The sequence below is a fragment of the Homo sapiens genome, chromosome 8, assembly GCF_000001405.40.
Source record: "Homo sapiens chromosome 8, GRCh38.p14 Primary Assembly".
Lineage (NCBI taxonomy): Eukaryota > Metazoa > Chordata > Mammalia > Primates > Hominidae > Homo > Homo sapiens.
In genome coordinates, this window is record NC_000008.11 from 128,207,599 (window position 1) to 128,222,892 (window position 15,294).

At 39.9% G+C, this 15,294-nt stretch overlaps 1 pseudogene, besides 1 other annotated feature; it reads left to right on the plus strand.

Moving 5' to 3' along the window:
• On the plus strand, positions 12,906 to 13,154 carry RN7SKP226 (RN7SK pseudogene 226; annotated as a pseudogene).
• Positions 14,725 to 14,794: a silencer, noted in NCBI's record as "silent region_19537". NCBI's record gives its function as "represses an Ori minimal core promoter by ATAC-STARR-seq in GM12878 lymphoblastoid cells {active_cell/tissue: GM12878}" and the evidence as "EXISTENCE:reporter gene assay evidence [ECO:0000049][PMID:35858748]".

Below are 15,294 nucleotides of genomic sequence, written 5' to 3' on the forward strand. Positions count from 1 at the left end.
ATATTTGGGGAGATGTGTGATATTTCGATACCCATATACAATGTGTAATAATCAAATCATGGTAATCAGGATATCCATCACCTCAAAAGTTGATCTTTTCTTTGTCTTGGGAATGTTACAATTCTTCTCTTTTAGTCACATTTTGAAATATATAATAAATTAGTGTTAACTGTAAGTTTCCTTCTGTACTTTCAAATACTAGAACTTATTTCTTCTAGCTAACAGTATTTTTTTTACTCTTTAACCAATTTCTCTTTGGGGGGATTTGAGGTGTAACACAGAAGCTTAGAAATGTAGTATATAAAGAATGAGAGTTTACCCATTGGAGTCTGACTGGGTAGTGTAGACGCTGAATCCACTTTCTAGCTGTGCTCACTAGAGCATGTTATCCTCTGTGCCCCAGTCTCCTCACCATTAAAATGGAAACACTGGTGGGAACTCACATGTAGGGTTGTTAAGTAGACACAGCACAGGTCAGAAGTTCTTTTCTGCAAAGGGCCAGATAATAAATACGTTAGGCTTTGCAGGCCATTTAGTCTCTGTGTCAACTTCTCAACTCTGTCACCACAGTGGAAGGCAGCTGTAGGCCACAGGTTAACAAATAAGTGGCCGTATTCCAAGAAACTTTATTTACAGACACCAAAATTTGATTTATATCATTTTCCTTTGTCACAATCTATTAACTATTGTTTTGATTTTTTCCAATCATTTAAAAATGTAAAATCCAGCTGGGCACGGTGGCTCCTGCCTGTAATCCTAACACTTTGGGAGGCCAAGGTGTGGGCATCACTTGAGGTCAGGAGTTTGAGACCAGCCTGACCAACATGGTGAAACCCTGTCTCTAGTAAAAATACAAAAAAATAGCTGGGTGTGGTGTCACATCGCTGTAATCCCAGCTACTTGGGAGGCTGAGGCAGGAGAATCGCTTGAAGCCTGGAGGTGGAAGTTGTAGTGAGCTGAGATTGTGCCATTGCACTCCAGTCTGGGCAACAAGAGCAAAACTCCATCTTAAATAATAATAATAATAATAATAATAATAATAATAATAATGTAAAAACCATTCTTAGCTCTCTGGCCATACAAAAATAAGTGGCATGCTGGAGTTGGTCCACAAACCATAGTTTCCAGCCCCTGTGATAGAGTAACAGACTCCAAAGGTCAGCTCTCGTTATTTTCAACCTTACTTTTTAGACAGGAAAATGGAGCGTAGAGAATTCATACAAGACTCCAGAAAGAAATTTTTGCCATGTGGGGTCTCATTAAGTATCTTCTATCAGCTATATATATATGTACAAGGGAAAGGCAAAGGATTCTGTAAAAGACTGATTTCTTTTGCTAGCATAAATAATACATCTGAATTCTAAAGCAGCCTCATCTTCCATGCAAGGCTTTATTTAACAGAATATTTAATGTGATACGATTATGCTCTACAAGACCCAAATGAAGAGTTCTGCCCAGCTAAGGGGGAGGCACTACGGCAACACAGGGCACCAGCTCTGAGTCCCTTCCTGTATTAAGTTGTTCTTGCATTGCTGTAAAGAAATATCTGAGACTAGGTAATTTACAAAGAAAAGAGATTTAATTAGCTCATGGTTCTGCAAACTGTATAGAAGCATGATACTGGCATCTGCTTGGCTTCTGGGGAGGCCTCAGGGAACTTAAAATCATGGCAGAAGGTGAACAGCCAGTAGGCATGTCACATGGCAAAAGTAGGAGCCCGAGAGTGCTATGGGAGAGGTGCTACACACTTTCTTTCTTTCTTTCTTTCTTTTTTTTTTTTTTTTGAGACGGAGTCTTGCTCTGTCACCCAGGCTGGAGTGCAGTGGCGCGATCTCGGCTCACTGCAACATCCGCCTCCCTGGTTCAAGTGATTCTCCTGCCTCAGCCTCCGGAGTAGCCGGGACTACAAGCGGGAGCCACCATGCCCAGCTAATTTTTTTTGGTATTTTTAGTAGAGATGGGGTTTCACCGTGTTAGCCAGGATGGTCTCGATCTCCTGACCTCGTGATCCACCCGCCTCCGCCTCCCAAAGTGCTGGGATTATAGGGGTGAGCCACCTTGCCCGGCCGGTGCTACACACTTTCAAATGACCAGATCCCACAAGAACTCATCACTATCACGAGGACAGTACAAAGGGTGATGGCGCTAAACCATTCATGAGAAATCTGCCCCCATGAGCCAATTACCTCCCACCAATCCTCACCTTCAACATTGGGGATTACATTTCAATGTGAGATTGGAGGGGCGGGGGGGCAAACATCCAAACTCTTATCACTTCCTCAACTGAAATTTCTCCCCACTGATCAGCTCTCTTTATGTATGATTTCTAGAGCTCTAAAAATGGCAGCCACAGGAAAGCAGAATATTCCAAACAGCAGAGAAACGTAGCTGAAACGAAGGCACATACCTTCTTCAGCGAGTGGTAGTTATGTACCTGGGGTTTGGCCACAAATCCAAGACAGAAATGAAAGACATATGAGTAAAACAAACTCGTGTTTCTTTTTGTTTGTTTTGCTTGTTTAAAGGAGTTAAACAAAACAAACAAAAACCACTTTGGAATTTTTTACTTTAAAATAACACTTACGTATTGAATGATATGTAACTTACTCTTTTCCCCCAGCTCAGCAAGCTCTGTGCCCTCCTCCTCACTTTCTGGGGAAGAATGCATGTTTCAGCTAAAAACAGGTGTCAATCACTGTGTGAAGAAAATGAACAGGCAGGATGTGCCTAGGAACAGTACTTAATTTGAAGCTTCATTTTTCCCTTAGCCTGACGGAATGGGTATCTTATATTTGTGTGTTGCCTGGATGTTTGGAAGGCTTTTGGGTATAGTTAGCCCATTTGTTTCTCAGAGATTTTTTTATTTGCAAAAAAAGTGCTTGCATGCCATCTAAATTTACTACTTCTCCTTCTCCCACCTAGGGTAAACCAAAAGAGATGGTACATTCAAGGAATCTAACAAACTTTCCCTTAGCTGATCTCCCTGACCCCCACTTCCTGTCCGTCTTTGTTCACAAAGCAGCCAGGGTCATTTTTCAGAGCCTCACTGTTGCCTCCTCTGCTTACCTTCCTTGGGGGGCCCTCAATGGCCATGGGATAAAGTCCCATCTTCTGAAACAGCATGTAAGTGTGTCTAGCATCTGAGGCTGTTCCTATATTTCCAGTTACATGTCTTCTCTCACTGTGGACTCTGAATTCAAGTCACTCTATGGTTTCCAAAAGTCACAGCGGGCTCACATCTCTGTGCCTTTGCCCATGCTTTCCCTTGGAATTGAGTGCTTTCCACCCAAGATCAGCCTAGCTTGGGTGAAGCCTAGATAGAACAAAGGATCCAAACTGAGGAAGTTCTCTAGCAACTAGGCCTCTCAAATCCCCCTCACTCCTTTCAAATAGCAGATGTGTCCATTATTTTGAAGAATGAGAAGTGCAAGAGTGGGTGGAAGAACCCATCCCTGCATCCGCCTCAAATGTCCTGAGCATCCTGTCTGTCCTGGGTGTGGGAATGTAGCAATGAATTAGCCCTCAGTGAACTTGCAGCTAGCAGGGAAGATGAGAGCAGTCCATGAACTCCCAAAACACCAGGCAGGAACTAATAAGAATATGTACAAACAGAAGGCTCCATAGAAAGCTCAGAGGAGGGAGAAACTATATGAAGCTGGAATAATCAGAAAAGACATTTTGGAGCATTTGCCCTGTGACTTTAACCTTGAAAATAAGAAATATTTGAATATGCAGAGAGGGTGGGAGAGTTTTGATGCCAGAGTTCAGTCTGTGCAAAGGCAAGGAGGTGGAAGATAAGCTGGGCTTTCAGAGAACAGAGAGCCTCAGCTTGGCAAGAGCAAGTGGGAGCTGAAGAAAGAAAAGATAGACTAATGGGTCAGGGTCAGACAATGGAGGAACCAAAGGTGTTGGCTGACAACTAACCTGCAGATTCCCTGCTCCCAGCCATCCACAGACTCAGAAAGCTTCTTTCCTGATTCAAATTGGATAAGAGGTTGCTTGGCAGTGGTAGGAACCCAGAGCTTGATCAGGATGCTGCTGGTATACCTTCAGGCCACCAGCAAGACAGCACCAATGTCTTAGAGTTGTATTAGAACCATTTTGTGTATTTTGACTTTCTACTGAGTTTATTAAAGGCATGTTCCCTGAAATGGGAGATAAGGGTCAACTGCTGATAAGAACTCATTGAATTGAAAAGAAAAAGTCAGGCTGTAATCCCAACACTTTGGGAGGCTGAGGAGGGCAGATGATGAGGTCAGGAGTTCGAGAGCAGCCTGGCCAATATGGTGAAACCCCATCTCTACTAAAAATACAAAAAAGTAGCCTGGCGTGGTGGCGCGCGCCTGCAGTCCCAGCTACTCAGGAGGCTGAGGCAGAAGAATCGCTTGAATCCAGGAAGTGGAGGTTGCAGTGAGCGAAGATTATGCCACTGCACTCTAGCCTGGGAGACAGAGTGAGACTCGTCTCAAAAAAAAAAAAAAAAAAAAAAAAAAGAAAGAAAGAAAGAAAAAGAAAAAGAAAAAGAAAAAGTCAGAGGAATATAAAGTGATCAAGTGATCGTGTGTGTGTGTGTGTGTGTGTGTGTGTGTGTGCGTGTACTCACCTTCTTGCAGAGAGGTCAAAGAGCTTTTCCAACATCATTTCTTCTTTAGGGCTCAATGCTTTCTGTGGCTTGGTAAAGGAGGAAATATTTGAGCAGTACAAGATAAATCTGAATGAGAATGAAGGTAACCAAATAATTACTTTTATATCGAAGTTTTCCGTGCAAGACAGTATTTAGTTGCCTAGAGCTGGTCCTTGACTCCTGGGCTGATTGGACTCTGATTAGACTTCTACCACCTGGTATATCCAGTCAACAAACATCTTCTGGGCCCCAGCAAGGCATCAGGAACTGTGCTATGTCTTAAAATAAGGAGTTGAGTGGAGACACAAAGAAATAATGGAAATGACCCATCTTCTTGAGAACTGTGCATCTAATGGAGTGAATACATATGTCCAGACACTTTCAGTTCAATGTATTAAGGGACCAGATGAAAGTAGGCAGTGGATGCTGTGGGAGCCCAGAGGGGAAACACCTCATCCGGCCTGAGGTAAGGATGTTGGAAAGGGCCAGGGAGGGTTATCTAAAGGAGCTGACACATCAGTACAATTAGCATCTTCCAGTGGTTGGTCCAGCTTTAAAATCACAGCACCTCAAAGCTGGCTATCCCTGAGGTCACCGCATCTGTCAAACTTAATAGTCATCACCTGTTTAATTATCTGATGTTCCTCTCAGCTTCAAAGAACAAAGATGGTTTCTGTTTTGCTTATTATGTGTCCCCATCACATAACAGTGTCCAACACCTAATAGGCACCTTAAAAATATGGGTTGTGTGTCAAGGGATAAATATTAGCACATGAATTTTCACCTTCTTTCCAAGTGTTAAGGGGAATCCTGTTGTAATATTTAATGACAGCCTACTGCATTCTTAACTCTGAGCCAAGTCTAGAAGGAAACAACAAAATCAAGAGAAACATAGTAGAATGTTTGGACACAAGAAAACTTGGACATCAGCTGTTTCTATAACTCATTTCTACCATAAAAAACAAGTTCAGAAAAGTTGCCTTGTAACTACTAGCACAAGGTCATCCAGGTAATTAGTAGCAAGCAAGTCTGAAATCCAAGTATCCTGAATTTCAGTCCTCAGTTCCTTCCTTTGAGCCATGGGTATTGTATCAGTTACAGACATGTGCAGAGGAAGCACAAAGGAGTCTGGAAAGGATGTACTTCTTTTGCTGGCATACAGAGTATGTCTGAATTCTAATGCAGCCTCATCTTGCAAGTAAGGCTTTGTTTAACAGAATATTTTATGTGATAGAATTATGTTCTACAAAACCCAAAATTTTAAAGGATGTTTTCTTTGCGCATCTGTAATTGCTTCTGGCGGGTGCGCCTTCTACTTTATAAAAAAGATTCCTTTCCCTCTTTCATCTGTCTCAGAGAGGCTCCAGAGGGAAATGTAGGAAACAAATGCTTGTTCAACCCGTAATGTTCCCTTGAAAAGTGAAGCTTGAAATCCTGTAGGGATCTCTGTGTTCTTTCAGAATTGATTTTGACACTGTAGAACTACATCCTAACTAGCTTTCATGCCAAAATATATTGTGACTAGTGATTGGATAGCTTAAAAACTATTAAAAAATATACTTTTTCATATCAAGAGCGAAAGATAATGACTCATATCCCATAACTTGGGAATTATTCTTAAAGAACATTTTCTATTTTTTTAATGGTCATAGATTCAAACCCAGTAAAGAACGTTTTCTAAAGTAGTGATAGAAATTGTAAGAATGAATTACTTGGAGGGTGTGAAACACTGTCTTAATGGAAAACATTAAATGACAAGGAAAAATGCTTCAGGTAAAAACAAAATAAATTTTTTTTGTTATATTATCAATAATAAAAATTCATAATTATTTTATAATTTTGTTTGTTGGTTGGTTGGTTTTGTTTGTTTGTTTTGTTTTGAGACAGAGTCTTGCTCTGTCACCCGGGCTGGAGTGCAGTGGTGCAATCTCAGCTCACTGCAACCTCTGCCTCTCAGGTTCAATCGATTCTCCTGTCTCAGCCTCCTGAGTAGCTGGGATTACAGGCATGCACCACCATGCCTGGCTAATTTTTTGTATTTTTAGTAAAGGCAGGGTTTCACCATGTTGGCCAGGCTGGTCTTGAACTCCTGATCTCAAGTAATCCACCCGCCTCAGCCCCCCAAACAAAGTGTTGGGATTACAGGTGTGAGCCACCATGTCCGGCAAAAACAAAACAAGCAAGCAAACAAACAAACAAAAAATCATAATGTTTTACACTGATTAAGTGCTTACCCTGTGTTGGGCACTGTTGTAAACTACAGGAAACAATGCATCTAACCTTTACAATAACCCCATAAGGAAGGTGCTTTAATATCCTCACATTCCAAAGTGAGGCACAGAAAACTAATATAACTTGTTCAGGATCATATTCTGGGAAATGTGGAGTTTACATTCAAGCATAGGTAGCCTAGCTCTGGAAACAATGCCTTTTTTTTTCATTTAAAAATTTAAATACCGAGGTATTTAAAAGTACACGAAGTATACATATCCTGTGGGCATGTCCCTTGATCCCAAAATTTCACTTACATAAATTGACAGAGACACACACAAATATTTCTGTATAAAAATTTTCATCAAAGTATTTCCACCAATAATGGAAACTGGAGACAATCCAAATGCTGAACAGTTAGAGCTCTATTAAATGCTCAACTTTAAAACGAAAAAAATAACATAAAGTACAAGGAAAAAATAAAAATCAGTCACAATTTCTGTATTCAGAAATAACCACAAGGACATTGCTGTGTATATCTTTCCAGCTGTTTTCTATTTTTTGTTTCTGATACAAACTTGGGGTCATACTGTATATATTGTTTTATGACCTGACTTTTCTATGTAGATAATGTTATAAATAGTTTTCAAGTCTTTAGTTTTTCTTTTACCACTTATTTTAATAGCTTTATGGTATTCTATTACTTGTACATGTCATGATTTATTTAACAAACCTTTATCATTGAACCCATGCTCGTTTAGCCATTAGTTCATGGTGCCTCAATTGATGATAACCCATCATTCACAGGAAGTAGCCCAGACTCTCTAACTTAGAGTTCGAGACCTTCCATGATCTGCCCTTACTATTCCAATTTAATCTCTCCGTGTTTTGTTTCCCTAACCATGAATTATAGCCAAATAAAAGCACTTGCTCCAACAGTGTAATTGGACATTTCTTACAGCACCCATGCAACTCTTCTTATTGCAAATATTTACCTACTGATCTAGCTATACTCTACTAGATTGAAAACTTGCAAGCAGAATATCTGCCTGAATCAATTTCCTAACCCAACATTGAAGAATCGTGTCTTGCACTTAATATACGCTCAAAAATTATTTATGGAATAAATGAAGGCAATGTAATATTATTTTTGATAGTGCAAAATTGTAAATGATTCAAATATCTAACAATAGGGGGCAACTTAAATTAATGATAACACCTTCATTCTGAAAAATTTTGAGCAATAATTATGAAAAATATAACAAATAAAAAAGTTTGTAAATAATGTTAGGTGAAAAGAAGCAGAACGTGTAATTAAATGTATACTAGAATTTTAGCTATTTTCAATATCTAAGTCTGGGGGCATCAAAAAACAGAAGGGAGCTTTGGAAGAGTGTGAGGGGAGTGATGTTTAGTTTGAGTAAACATAGTGGGTAAATATTTTTTCTTAATTTCTTCTAATATTCTTTTAAAAAGCTAGTGCATTAACAAACTACATATACCAATATATTTATGACTTTGAGATAATGTTACTGGAGAACGGGACATAAAGAGTAAGTTTTTTCTTAAGTAAGATGTTTCAAATGTTTTTTATATTACTGGAAGTAGTATAATTATCAAAAACATCTAATGAAGTAAATACCAGCATAGCCGCCATTTTAGAACATTGAGGCACAGGTTATGAAATAGCTTGCTTAAGGCCACACAGCTAGGAAATGTCTGAGTTTGGACCTGAGGTCCAGTCTGTTGGACTCCTAAGCTCATGTGATTCACCATCATGGAGTAACACCAAATATATTAAGATTGGCTAGGACCCAACAAGAAAAAAATCAGCTTATCAATAAAAACAAAATAAGAACCTACTTTCAAGAGACTTAAGGTTTTGTTTTTGAATCAGTACCTACATGTATGAAATACTACTGGGAGGAAAAGTGTGATAATTTCTTCATAGCACCCTCCCTCTTCCACCTTTCATTGTCCAGTGAATTTCTGCTTATTCTGTAATACTCAAATGTTTCCTCCTAGAAAATAGTTATCCATATCCCCCTGGCTCATGCTGGTTCTTAGAGTTTCCTGTTAAAACTTCCACTATAATACTTAACATTATGCTATTGTGTTCCCTGGAGGTAAGCTTCTCTATGTTAGGGATCATCTTCAGTCTCTATGTTTTTGTGCCCACCTGGTGGCACAATGGCCAGCACGTATGCATTTACATTTCTTTTCAGTGAGTTCTTTTATTACCCCTTTACCACAAGCATTCTTTCGAAAAACCCCAAACCCCAAAATGTGGCATAGCAATTTATCGGTGCTAAACAAATATGTAAATACGATGGCTATAATTACCTTACTGCTCCTCAGAAGCCTTTCTTTCTTAAACACAGGCAAACACTCTGATTTGTCACATTTCTAGAACACTTAATTGTCACAATGTCCTTGTGCCACATTTGAACTCATGACAGCAGGGACAGGATGCTTCCTTCCTAAGATTTTCTTTACCAGGGTCTTTTCTGTCTCCTGAAATCACCATAAAGTGGAATACAGCATTTTGTTCAAATACCTTCTCCAGGTCAGATGTGCAAGTCCTGTTTCTCTGGTATAATGATTCTCAATTTGTTTTCTTACAATTTTGAGAGTACAATCCCTTACCAAGGTCTCCGTCTCTCTCCCTTATCTTTTTCCTATCCCCTCTTCCTTGCTTCCTCTCCTGGATGATGTGGTCCTTCATTTGTCTTCTCTGTATCAATTTTCTCTGGTGTCTACCTTAGAGACTGCCTTCTGCTGCTTATTCATGCCTCAGTATGGTCTTTAGCTGAGTCTCCAAAGCTCTAATATTAATATCCAGGATTTTCCAGGATATGGACAATTAAGTCTTTATGCCTTTATTTAAGATGTCCCAGGAAAGAAAATCTGGCCCATTTGGGGTCAGGTGTCTATCTCTGGTAACTAAGCTGATGCTTGCTTGGAGAGGGTCGCATGGGACATGGCACTTGATGACCTCAAAAAGCAGGCTGGAAGTGACCACTAAATTGACAGAACACTTACAGCGCTTTTAAATTCTTACTTCCTGCTCCTCTAGTCCTATCTAATATTCTAAATGTTTCTCACATCCATTCCCATTTACCCCTCTCTTCCCACTGTCTTGGCCCTCATATATCCTTGCTTAGATTACTGTGATAGTCTCTGACTTGATTTCCTTGGTTCTGATCTCTCCCCCTAAGCTAATATACACTCCACACAACAGCCTTTGAAAAACATAAAGTGATAACATCATTTCCCTAATTCAGTATCCTCAATGACCTCTCAATGCTTACGAAATAAGGTTCAAACTCTGTGGGATGATGCTATATAAATTCTTTTAAAACTAGATCCTTTCCTACCTCCTTCATCCGTCTGCTCACGATTTTTTCACTTGGTCTTACTTGTGTGAATGACTGCTATTCATGTGTGCACAATTTTCTCTTCCCTTCTCTTCTGGGAGCGTCTGCAGCTCTTTGTACCACAGTACATAGAAGACCGGCCAAAACACAGTTGGGGCCCAAGGAATGGTGGCTGCATGCATGAAACATGAAGGACTATGGGGAGAATACAGGACTCATCGTTTGAGTCTTTACATGGTTGTTATTATTGTCCCATCTTAGCAAGTTTGCCTGAATTGTGCTCCCTGAATCCCCAGGGGTTCAAAAAAATTGTGAAAAACATAATGAAAAAACTATGTTTAGGCTTTCTAGTAGTACAAAGCCTCAGCCAAAACATCAACTTTTTCTTTGCTTTTTTTTTTTTTTTTTTTTTTGAGATGGAGTCTCACTCTGTCACCCAGGCTGAAGTGCGGTGGTGCCATCTCCACTCACCACAATCTCCACCCCCCGGGTTCAAGTGATTCTCCTGCCTCAGCCTCCTAAGTAGGTGGGATTACAGGTGCCTGCCCCCATGCCCAGCTAATTTTTGTATTTTTAGTAGAGAAGGGGTTTCGCCATGTTGGCCAGGCTGGAAGTTTTTCTAATTTTGATGGAATGAAATCAATTTAATGTAGCAACTCTACCTCATGCTAATTAGAAGCCCCAATTGACAGCTTCAATTAAAAAAAAAAACAAACAAACTAGGAAAGAATGAAGTTGCTTAAAAATAGTATTTTCTTCTTTTTAGTGAGTACACAGTCTTTAACATTTCAAATCTGTTGGGATAAAAATAATTGGTACAAAAAACTGGAAACTGCCCTAAAAAATCTGAGACTTAGTTTAGATATCTATAACATAGAGGATAATTGATGTCTTAGGTACTTTCCAGCTCAGACACTTACGTCCTAGGAAGAGACTAAAATTGTCTTGGTTCTTATCTTTATCCTTTGTTGTACCACAAGGATAAAGTGTCCTATCTCTTTGTCAATTCCCAATTCCTAAATCAGTGATTCGTCTATATTAAAGGCTAAAGAAATATTTATTGGCTAAATAACTGACCAAGCTCTGTACGTGTTCTGAGAAAGGAGAAAAATAATTATACCTGAGAATATAGATGAACAATTTAGGGAATGATGATGAGTTAGACCACATGACATTTACAAAAGACAACGCTGGGGGCACTTGGAAACATACAGTTGGCAAATTAAATAACTGTATTGCTATGTGGGAATAAAGTTAGAAAGGAACTCAAGGAACCAAGTGTTCCCTTAGGAATGGCCATAGAGCAGACAGTGAGGACAAATGGACAGTGATTTTTAGAAAGAAGAAAAAGAGACATAGACAATTATCTCACACTGAATTTAATTCTCCCACCTTGTTGGTCATAAGTCTCTTTCTTTAGTTCATGAATGAAGAAGCAAAAAGAACATGATCTATGATAACTGAGAATCTGACTCAAAAGATAGAATTTATAATCATGATGATGATGCTTATCAACATTTTGTAAGCATCTACTATGGACACTTTGTGTAATGGAGTAGGACATAATGGAAGGTGAGAAAATGATAGACTAAGGGAAACTAAATGAGATTGTCAAGTAAAGGACCTTACCCCAGTACAAATCAATGAATATTAATCCCCTCCCTTTCCCTTTTAGGGTCTAACAGACCTATATTTGAATGCAAGTGCACCAATTACTGACTATATGATCTGGACAAGTTGTTCAGCCTCTCTGAGCTTAGATTTATTACCTATAAAATGTGACAAGTAATACTTAGTTCACAATATTATTGTGAAGATTAAGTGAAATATTATATACAGAAGTAATTTGTAAGCTGCAAAGCGCTATGCACATGGGATTCAAAATATTAGCTATTCATATTATTTAACAGTTAGATAAAGTATATATAAGCCACCATGAATATGAGTGGATAATTGCCTAGAGGAGGGGCAAGAAGAAGTGTGTGACAAGAACTGAATGAGTGAGATAAGGTAACAGAAGTAATGGGAGCTGGAAGCTGGATCACAGGGGGTCTTGTAGGCCATCGTCTACAAACAACAACAACAAAAACAAAACAAAAAAATGAACAAAAAAACCCTCCTTTGTCTTTTACTCTGAGTGAAAAGGGAACTCAGGGTGATATTTTGAGCAGGTGAGTGGCATAAAATAATGTATGTTTTAAGAGATTCACTCTGGATGCTGTGCTTAGAATAGACTCTAGGGTGTTAAGGAAGAAAGGAGAACATCAGGTGGTTTTTGCAGTAATACAGGCAAAAGATGGTGGTGCCTTGAGCCAGAAGAGCAGTGGTGTGGTTGGTGAGGAGCAGTTGGATTCTGATATTTTTCTGAAAATAGAGCCATCAGTGCTTCCTGACAAATTGAATGTGGGATATGAGAGAAAGAATGACAGCACAGATGACTCCTATTCCTGGTTTGGCCTGAGCACAGGATGGATGAGATTCCTGTCCTCTGAGATGGGGGAGCTGCTGGTTACACAGTTTTAAGAGAGGACCATCAGGGGTTCAGTTTAGGGCATGTTACGTTTGAGAAGTTCATGAAGTATCCAAGTGGACCTATCAAGTAGTGAGTTGAAATACTAGTCTGGGACTTGGGAGATCGGGCTGGGCAGAAGATGTAACATCTGGGAGTTGTTGACATGTAGATACATGGTATTGGATGTGAGGGCGATCTGACTGCGACATCTGTCACCCCATTGATCGCCAGCATTGATTCGGCTAATCTGGCTGGCTAAGCTGGTGTCCCTTCCTTGCTCACAGCTCCAAGTGCATTCCTCCCAAAGCTGCACACTAGGTCGAAGAGGACGACCATTCCCTGACAGAGAAGGACTGGTCTTCGGTCAAGGGTATATGATTAGCTGAGCTCTCCTGCTAGAACATCCAGACAAGCTCTCAAGACCCATTAGATATATGGTATTTAAGAAATGCAACGTAGCTGACAACTATTCCACCACTGGCTTTCCTAAGATTAATTTCACCTTATTTTGGCCTAAGTCCAAGAAGTAGAGGTTTTCCCTTCCTTTCTCCTCCCTCTGCTTCTTCCATCTCTCTGTCCTACCCCAGTGAGTCCTTGCTTCTGTATAGAACCATTCAATCACAATTGAACTCTCTTGTGCTTTTCTAGTTTATCCGTCTGTCTCTACTTAGTTTCCCCAGTGCAATGACTGCACACTTTGTTGGGATTTTGCTTCAAGCCACAAGGGAAACAATAAAACTGAGGGATGTAGGAAATGAACTCATGGACTTGGCTTTGGGAGACTGGGTCACACACCACTGAGAAACCAGGGACGGAGGATTTTTGCACAACTATCCACAGAGTTAGGTGTTAAACAACATCACTGCCTTCAGAAAAACCAACATCATAAGTGCAAGTTTATTTATTCTGTATGTTCTCAGGACTAAATGCTTGTTATTTTTAGAGAGAATACAGGGGAACCAGGAGAACTGCTTTTTGCCTTCAAGTGGTGCACATGCTTTGGTAGGAAAAGTCAGTGCTACTCATAAGAAACCGTAAGAAGTATTCAGGAGAAAAGGATGGGAAAATTAGTGGATGAAGAGGTTGCTAAGAAAAAACTTACCCTCATTTAGCTATTGTGTTTCAGATTCAATGTCACATCATTTGCAAAATTTTCATTGTTTGTCCTTAAAAATAATCAATAGATCCCTGAGATAAAAAATAATCAATAGATCCATGAGATCCACAACACTTCAGAGAATAATGACCCTTGTCATATTACAAATAAAATGTACTTGATTACTGGGAAAATAGTGTACCTTCTTTGAAAAGAGAGACAGAGAGAAAATAAATATAAACACAAAAAAGAAAATCTTATGGCCCGAGAGGACCATGAGACTCTTTTTTTGATTGTGTTTTCTATGTATATATTTACTGTACAAAAAATGAGATCATAGTGTACTTGTTTGTAGATTCTTTTCTCATTGGTAATAGAGCTGAAGAATTTTCCATGTCACTAGGCACTTTCCTACTACATTGTTTGGGTATCTGCTTATTATCAATATCATAGCTATATTATAATTGTGGGATTGTGGCTTGTTTCCTTTTATGCCTTTTCAGCATCAAGGACAGGAAGTTCTTGCAGTCACAGAATGTTAGAGAACTCAAAACTCCCTTAGACATCATCTAGTTAACCTTCTGTTTTGCAGATGGGAAAGTTGCATTAAATGGATTTACAGGTCAGATGGTCAGAAAGCTACAGAACAAGAATACAAACCAAATGCCTGTATTCTGAGCCGAGTGTTCTTTTACTATAACATCTGGACTCTGAGTCAGCCCTACATCTGGGAAGTACACATGCAGTAAAAGAAGAGGGCATACTTTGGCAGGAGAAGTTTGGGGAGGACATGACAGCAGAAGTCTCTTGTGGTTCTTTTGGAACTTTCAGTTTTACTTCAAACCCTGTGACCCCCGCAAGTTTCATAGAGGGGCAAAGTTGCATTGTGTGGTGTGGCAAGCAGACAGTTTTAGGAAAGGAACTCATAAGCTCAGGTTTGCAAAACCCACAGCTGTACAAAAGTTCAGCTCTATCCAACACTCAGAGGGGTGCAAAAACCTTCTAAGAGAGTACCTGGCCACCTAGAGTCTCAATTCTGGTTTCACATTATATCTGAAGGGCTCCCATCCCTCAGCACTGAGCCCTGTGAAACCTAATGACATTTTGACTTTGCTGATTGTCAGAGATGATTTTAACTTCGGACGCTTACAAGCCACAGTGTTCTGGATGTCCTTCAATCACTCTCCATGCCCTCTTGCTGTAGAAGAGGAGGGTCGTGCTTGGAACGCTTCGAACAATCCTCAATAGTGAAAAAAGAGCAGAGAACGCTGGGAGTTCCAGCCTGCTGTGGAAATGAGGCACCACCCTCCAACTCCCTTGTCCCAGACCAAACCTGGCTATGCCACACTGTGCTTAATACCTTTCCATGACCTCAAGATAAAGTTCACATCCCTCAGCATGGCATCCAAGACCCTGTACCTCCCCTTGGCCCACCTCGGTCTCATCTCTGCCATTTTTGTTTTCAGCAACACCA